The sequence below is a fragment of the Homo sapiens genome, chromosome 3, assembly GCF_000001405.40.
Source record: "Homo sapiens chromosome 3, GRCh38.p14 Primary Assembly".
Taxonomy (NCBI): Eukaryota; Metazoa; Chordata; class Mammalia; order Primates; family Hominidae; genus Homo; species Homo sapiens.
Genome location: NC_000003.12, coordinates 153,035,350 through 153,043,862, shown reverse-complemented (window position 1 = coordinate 153,043,862; position 8,513 = coordinate 153,035,350). Strand labels below are relative to the sequence as shown.

General features: G+C 39.2%; 1 annotated feature.

The window, feature by feature from the left end:
- Positions 453–502: a silencer, noted in NCBI's record as "silent region_14828". NCBI's record gives its function as "represses an Ori minimal core promoter by ATAC-STARR-seq in GM12878 lymphoblastoid cells {active_cell/tissue: GM12878}" and the evidence as "EXISTENCE:reporter gene assay evidence [ECO:0000049][PMID:35858748]".

Here is an 8,513-nt window from a genome sequence, read left to right as displayed (position 1 = left end):
AGGGAATGAGTCAAATGTTTCTAAAGAAGCAGAGCAGTGTAAGTATCAGAATAAGAAAATAACTATTGTTGTATAAGATAAAGGAATGGAAAACTGACTTACTGAGAAGGAAAGGGCTTTACAAAATTGTAGTGGACTTAAAAAGACTAAAAAATGCATTATAAATGCCAAGTGATAATAAAAAATATCTGTGCATTTTTCCCCAAATAACACATAAAAAAATAGAAATTGAACAGAGAACAGAAACCTTGGGCTTTTGGCTGGGCGCGGTGGCTCACGCCTGTAATCCCAACACTTTGGGAGGCCGAGGCAGGCGGATCACAAGGTCAAGAGATCCAGACCATCCTGGCCAACATGGTGAAACCCCGTCTCTATTAAAAGTATAAAAATTTGCTGGGCGTGGTGGCGGGTGCCTGTAGTCCCAGCTACTCAGGAGGCTGAGGCAGGAGACTTGCTTGAACCCAGGAGGCGGAGGTTGCAGTGAGCTGAGATCACGCCATTGCACTCCAACCTGGGCGACAGAGCGAGACGCCGTCTCAAAAAAAAAGAAACCTTGGGCTTTTTACACAATGAAGAGCTGCCTTTTCAGCTATGCTCGATCTCCAGTCAATGGGAGGGAAATAGATTCTTTGGGCGCCATCTAGTGATTAAGTGGAGGAAGGCAACTGAAAGAGTGAATTTCCTTAGAGTTTAGGTATTTCCTATATAGGAAAAAATAGTATAATGAAACATTTGAGTTTCAGGGTTAAGACACTAATTTGAAACTTATTAAGGAAATTAACATTCACTGGTATAAACAACGTGACTTGGAGAAGGAAGGGACTTTCGCCTCTCAGTTTTTGCTCAACGTTCAGCATCTAGAATGCCATCTAGCATACTGCATGAACTTTATGTGAACCTATTTAAAACAAAATGAATAGGCCGGGCGCAGTGACTCATGCCTATAATCCTAGCACTTTGAGAGGCCGAGGCAAGCAGATCACTTGAGGTCAGGAGTTCGAGACCAGCCTGGCCAACATGATGAAACCCTGTCTCTACTACAAAAATTAGCCAGGCGTGGTGGCATGCATCTGTAATCTCAGCTACTCAGGAGGCTGAGGCATGAGACTTGCTTGAATCCAGGAAGAGGAGGTTGCTGTGAGCTAAGATCATGCCACTGCACTCCAGCCTGGATGACAGAGCAAGACTACATTTTAAATAAATAAATATAAATGGAGGCAAAAATATAGGATTTGAGAGATTTTATATATATATATATAGAGAGAGAGAGAGAGAGAGCATATGTCTACATTTTTTGAAAGGATAGCACAACTTTTACACATCATTTTAAATAATGAAATTAGAATGCATTACGCTAAGGCATTGTCACTGTTGTAGGTTCCTCAAAATCATGTTAGGGGTTCTTTGCAGAACCCCTGCAAAGGGGTTTGGAATGGGATATCAGACAACCCAGGAGTTTCTCATCCTGGATACAAAGGAACATAAGGAAGAAATGCTCCCTTTTCTGCCTGTTGACATTGGTTTCTGACAACACGATGCCTGGAACCACTACAGTCATCTTGTGACCATGGGGTGAATGAATTCACACACTGAGAATGACAAAGTGAACATATGGGAAGATGGGCATATATAAGATTGTTGAGTCATTAACTAACCAGAGGCCTTCCTACCTTGAACTTTTTATTTTATGGATAATAAAGTTTCTCTTTTTAAAAGTGATTTAGAGATAATTTTTCTTTTGCTTGCAACTGAAAACATCTCAGCTAAAACATGCAAAGGGAAAATAAAAAATAAATAGTAAGAAATATTTGTTTAAACACTAATGGAAAAGAGAATTAATGTAAAAAGAATATTTATTTTATGTAAATAATTTATTTTTTGAAATTAGTTTCTTTTTTTTTTTTTCTTTTTTGACACAGAGACTTGCTCTGTCACCCAGGCTGGAGTGCAGTGGCATGATCTCGGCTCACTGCAACCTCCGCCTCCCATGTTCAAGTGATTCTTGTGCCTCAGCCTCCCAAGTGGCTGGGACTACAGGCGTGCGCTGCCATGCCTGGCTAATTTTTTTGTATTTTTAGTAGAGACTGGGTTTCACCATGTTGGCCAGGCTAGTCTGGAACTCCTGGCCTCAAGTGATCTGCCCACCTCAGCCTCCCAAAGTGCTGGGATTAAAGGTGTGAGCCCCCACGCCTGGCCAGAATATTTATTTTAAATAAATAAGAGATAATTCTGCATGTTATAAAATCAACAGAGGGAAAAATTGAAGACAAATCTAACAAAATGTATTTGGTGAACTTTGAATTGAGACGAGGAGGAGGTGAATACCATAGAAAGAACAATTTAAAAAGGCACAAAAACAAAAACTCTGCTTACCATTTCAGGGGTGCTATAATTTAATAAACTCTTAAAAACTAAGCTACAAGAACTTTCTTGAATGCTCTATCATGCAAACAAAAAAACAGGGAAGCAAAACTTCCGCATACAGCATCTATGTTGTGCTAAGCTTTCTGGCTACTAAAAGTGGCACTCTGGTGTTTTTATACACTGATGTAAGATGTTGATTCAAATTTACTTTGATTTTCCTACCTCAAGTTAGGGTAGTTCCTGCCAAAGGTAAATTTTCCATACTGAGTCACAAATGTCATTTACAAAGTGTGTTTCTCCCATAAAATATATAAATTTACCTTTTAGCACTCTACCTTAAATTTCTGGAAACTAAATCAGAATGAGTAAAAAGAAAACTCTAAATTGAACGAAAAATTAAAAATGAAAATAGCTTATTGTTTTGTTTTAAATTCAAGGAAAAGACAAAGAGACTAGAAACTTTTTTTTTTTTTTTTTTTTTTTTTTTTTGAGACAGAGTCTCACTCCATTGCTCAGGCCGAAAAGCAGCGGCGCGATCTTGGCTCACTGCAACCTCCGCCTCCCAGGTTCAGGCGATTCTCCTGTCTCAGCCTCCCGAGTAGCTAGGATTACAGGTGCCCGCCACCATGCTTGGCTAATTTTTCTATTTTTAGTAGAGATGGGTTTCACTATGTTGGCTAGGCTGGCCTCAAACTCCTGACCTCAGGTAATCCACCTGCCTTGGCCTCCCAAAGTGCTGGGATTACAGGCATGAGCCACCGCACCTGGCCTGAAACATTTTAAAAGTTAATTGTGATTTTAGTAAGTATAAATTTTGCTGGGTGCTCTACTAAAAATACAAAAATTAGCTGAGTGTAGTGGCCAGTGCCTGTAATCCTAGCTACTCTGGAAGCTGAGGCAGGAGAATCTCTTGAACCCGGGAGGCGGAGGTTGCAGTGAGCCAAGATCATGCCACTGCACTCCAGCCTGGGCAACAGAGCGAGACTCCGTCTCAAAAAAAAAAAGTTTAATTTTTTTGGATTAAATTTGTATATCAAGACTTGGAAGTTAATAGCTATTTGCATTTATTCTTTCTCAGCAAACACACACACAGGCACATACACAAAAAACACACAGAAATGGAAGCTCCTTTTAGAACAATTATCTGTTCACTATCATTTCCTCTGAAATAATTTTTTGGATAAGAGAATTTTAAAAAAGTACCCAGTTTATTCTTTTTTTCACCTTTCTTTAGAAGTAGTAACTGAGGCCAGACACTGTGGCTTACGCCTGTAATCCTAGCACTTTGGGAGGCTGAAGTGAGAGGATTGCTTGAGTTCAGGAGTTTGAAACCAGCCTGGGCAACATGACTAAACCCCATCTCTACAAAAAAATACAAAAATTAGCCGGCTGTGGTGGCACGTGCCTATAATCCCAGCTACTCAGGAAGCTAAAGCAGGAGGATTGCTTGAGCCAGAGAGGTCAAAGCTGCAATGATCTGTCATTGTGCCACTGCACTCCAGCCTGGGCAACAGAGAGAGAGAGAGACCCTGTCTCAAAAAAAAAAAAAAAAGCAACTGATAACAGGGAGGAACTGATCAACTGATACTACTATCAGTCATCTTGCCATATTTTAGTATTTCCACTTCATTATTAAAATGATTTTGTTTCCCATCCAATCAACTTTCAATAAAATTGAACTTCTCCATTCCTTGGGTTTGTGAAAGTATGCTTTACCATTTGGTAAACTTTAGAGAGGTAGCCCTGTTACTTCCCTATCATTTCAAAACTATAGTTATTTCTGACACTATTTCACTATGATCAATAATGTAGTAAATTTCAAGTATGAAAGGATTTAGATGTGAAAATCATTTTTGTATCACAGCTAAGAAACATTCCCAGAATCTTTTTCTTATACAGAAATTGTCAGAGTATGGTAAAGTATGTGGTGTTTTTCACTAACCTCATAGGTATCTCTTTTACCTCTTTATAATTATGTCATAAATAATAATAAACCAAGCAATTATTATACCTTTACAATACATCTGTGAGATAAGTATAGCATTATTCCTATTCTACAAATGGAGAAACTGAGGCTACAGTTGAATAACTTTTCAGAGGTCACATAGCTATCAAATAACAAGATTGGGACTTGAACCCAGACCAACTGAGAATAAAAACCTCTAGCAAATAAGCAAATCATCTTAATTTCTTTGTTCTGATGAGGTAATAGTTATTTTAATTTGCTTTTTAAAAATCATGTCAGAAAGGATCACTCATACATTGCCGGTGGGCAACTCTGGCAATTTGGCAATTTCTTGTAAAACTAAACATGCAATTACCATATGGCCAGGCAAACTGAACCCTTGGGGATTTAGTCCAGGAAAAGGAAACTTGAGTTCCTGCAAAAACCTGTGCAAAAATGATCACAGTGGCTTTATAATAGCCCCCAGTTGGAAACAACCCACATGTTCCTTAGCAGGTGAATGGTTAAACAAACTGTGGTACAGCCGGGCGCCGTGACTCATGCCTGTAATCCCAGCACTTTGGGAGGCGGAGGCGGACATGGGCGGATCACCTGAGGTCAGGAGTTCAAGACCAACCCGGCCAACTTGATGAAACCCTGTCTCTACTAAAAATGCAAAAATTAGCCAGGCATTGTGGCGTGCTCTTGTAATCCCAGCAACTCGGGAGGCTGAGGCAGGGAGAATTGCTTGAACCCAAGAGGCAGAGGATGCAGTGAGCCAAGATTGCGCCACAGCACTCCAGCCTGGGTGACAGAGCGAGACTCTGTCTCAAACAAACAAACAAACAAACAAACTTTTGTTTTTTTTTTTAGGTACTGCTTTCAGTTGTACGACATTTTTGAAATGACAAAAATTACAGAAACAGAACAGATTAGTGGTTATTCAGTGGTTAGGCATCGGGTAACTGGGCAGGAAATCAGTAGATATGGTTATAACAGGGCAGTACCAGGGATCCTTGTGGTGACAGAACTGTTCTGTATCATTATTGTAGCAGTAGATACACAAACTTACCCATGATAAATAGCATAGAACTAAACATACACACATACACACAACTGGAAAAATCTGGGTAAGATCCATAGATTAAGGCTGGGCGTGGTGGCTCAGTCCTGTAACTCCAGCACTTTGGGAGGCCGAGGCGGGCAGATCATGAGGTCAGGAAATCGAGACCATCTTGGCTAACACAGTAAAACCCCATCTCTACTAAAAATAAAAAAAATTAGCTGGGCGTGGTGGCGGGCACCTGTAGTCCCAGCTACTCAGGAAGCTGAGGCAGGAGAGTGGCTTGAACCCAGGAGGTGCAGGTTGCAGTGGGCCGAGATGGAGCCATTGAGAATGAGACTCTGTCTCAAAAAAAAAAAAAAAAAAAAAGAAATCCATGGATTGCATCAATGTCAATATCCTGCTGTAATTTTGTAGTATATTTTATGTTTTATTATTTTATTTATTATATTTATTAATTTTAGAGTATATTCTATGTTATTATTGGGGGAAAACTGCATAAAGAGTACATGGGGCCTATGTTATTTCTTACATCTGTGTATTTATTTAATTGAAAATTAATTTACATTTATTTAAATGTAAATTTAAGTATTTAAATAAAATAATTTAAATTAATTGTAAATTGTAAATTTACAGTTAATTTACAATTAAATAAATACACAGATGTAAGAAATAACATGGAGGGGTCGCATGTACTCTTTATGCAGTTGAAATTACAATCTCAAAATGAAAAGTTTGATTAGAAATTGTCATAAATAATCCTGTTATGCTGATTGATTATAATTGGAATTATTTCCCCATATATCTAGGAAAAGTAAACCAAAATTTATATACATATTTTTAGCCACGAAGTGGATAGAAAAATAGTTCCATTCCGAAAAAAGTGATTCACCACCCATTGGTGCGTTTTTGAATTCTTAGTAGTGCATCTACTAACAAGTGATTCAGTAATACTGTGTCTTTGTGCTATATGGACATGCATTATACAGTGTTTTTTTTGAAGTGTGAAAAGAAATTCCTCAACGGTACAGCTTTCCTCTTGCATTAATTCATTATCTGAGCCTGTGCATATATATCTGGTTTTCATTTTCTTTGTGTGGCTCTTGTCAAAGACATTGATTTTTAAAATATCCCCTTATCTGTCAAAGCCCACTGATTTTTAAAATATATCTAATTCAAATCATTTACTTTTCTTTTAAAAAATAGCATAATAGTTTTTACCATCTTTGATTTGAACAGGATGGAGGGGAAGTACCTTTGAAAAAAAGGTTCGAAACTCTGATTTCTTTGAATGCAGTACTAATGAATCAAGGCATAAGTTACACAGCTTCTGGTTTGGGTTGTCATTTTCTTTATTCACTCTCTCTCCAAATTCCCCCACCTTCTTCTCCCCAGCCATTTTTGTTCAACCTGTTCCAGCTGTTCATGTTGATGTAATACTCACAAAGCAAGATTTGCCTTTATGGTTACCATGGAGACCCTGCTTATTTTTTTAAAAAATCTTTCTTCTGAAAAGAATTATCACATTTTGCATTCACGAAGGTCTGTAAGCAAGTTGTCTATGTTCTGAACCTAGATATATATTTTTCTTTTTTCTTTTTAGAGATGGGGTCTCACATAAAGTGAGACTTTGTCACACAGGCTGGAGTGCAGTGGCTCGATCATAGTTCACTGCAGCCTCCAACTCCCAGGCTCAAGCCATCTTTCCACCTCAGCCTCTTGAGTGGCTGAGACAACAGGTACACATCATCACAACTGGCTACTTAAAAAATTTTTTTTTGGTAGAGACAGAGTCTTGGTATGTCATCCAGGCTGGTCTCAAACTTCTGGCTTGAAAGGATCCTTTCACCTTAGTCCTCCCAAAGTGTTGGAATTAAAGGCCTGAGACACCAATCCCAGCCTGAACTTATATATTTAATAAAGAAATGGCACTGCACAATTAACCTCTGACATTTACTGTCAATGTGGTGACCTTGCACTATTTCCCAAGATACGCACTATTTTTTCCAAAGCTGTGACCGCATCCTTCTGGCCAAAGGGAACTAAATACAATAAATGGAATAGCTAATGACTCTCCCCTTCCCTATACCGCACCTACCCAATTTAAATATATGTAGCAATAATTTACATTTCCCCCTGCTCTTTCCTTTATTCAAATTTATGGCTGGATACAGTTTGTAAATTTATCAAATGCCATAGCACTTGTAATTGGCATGATCAAGTTGAGAAATTTATTACATATTGTCTTAACTGTGTGTTGTGTGGTGTATATTAGTGTTGTCACTTCTACTAGACTATGATCAAATCAAAGGCAACATCACACTATGCTGTGTAATTTTTTATCTCTCTCTTTCTACCCTCTTCCTTGCCCCACTAACTCAGGGATGAACAGCAAATCATTCACTTAACAAATCTTTTCCTTTATTTTTTATTTATTTTTAATTTTTTTTTTTATTTTTTGAGATGGAGTCTCGCTCTGTCACCCAGGCTGGAGTGCAGTGGCGCGATCTCGGCTCACTGCAACCTCCGCCTCCCGGGTTCAAGCAATTCTCCTGCCTCAGCCTCCCTAGTAGCTGGGACTACAGGCATTTGCCACCATGCCTGGCTAATTTTTCTTTTTTCTTTTTGTATTTTTAGTAGAGACGGGGTTTCACTGTGTTAGCCAAGATGGTCTCGATCTCCTGACCTCGTGATCTGCCCGCCTCAGCCTCCCAAAGTGCTGGGATTACGGGCGTAAACCACCATGCCCAGCCTAACAAATCCTTTCTTAAACTCCTATAGTATTCTTAGTACATTCTAAAAGCTGGAGATACAGCAGAAAATAAGACAAGTCCCTGGATTTTAACTATATTTGAAGAAAAGTTGATTTTTTTTTATGTAAAAGTAACCTCCTACTTTTTGGTTAAAAGCAAATGCTGGCTGGGCGCAGTGGCCCACGCCTGTAATCCCAGCACTTTAGGAGGCCGAGGCGGGCAGATCACCTGAGGTCAGGAGTTCGAGACCAGCCTGACGAACATGGTGAAACCCCGTCTCTACTAAAAATACAAAAATTAGCCAGGCTTGGTGGCGGGCGCCTGTAATCCCAGCTACTCAAAAGGCTGAGGCAGGAGAATCGCTTGAACCTAGGAGGCGGAGGTTGCA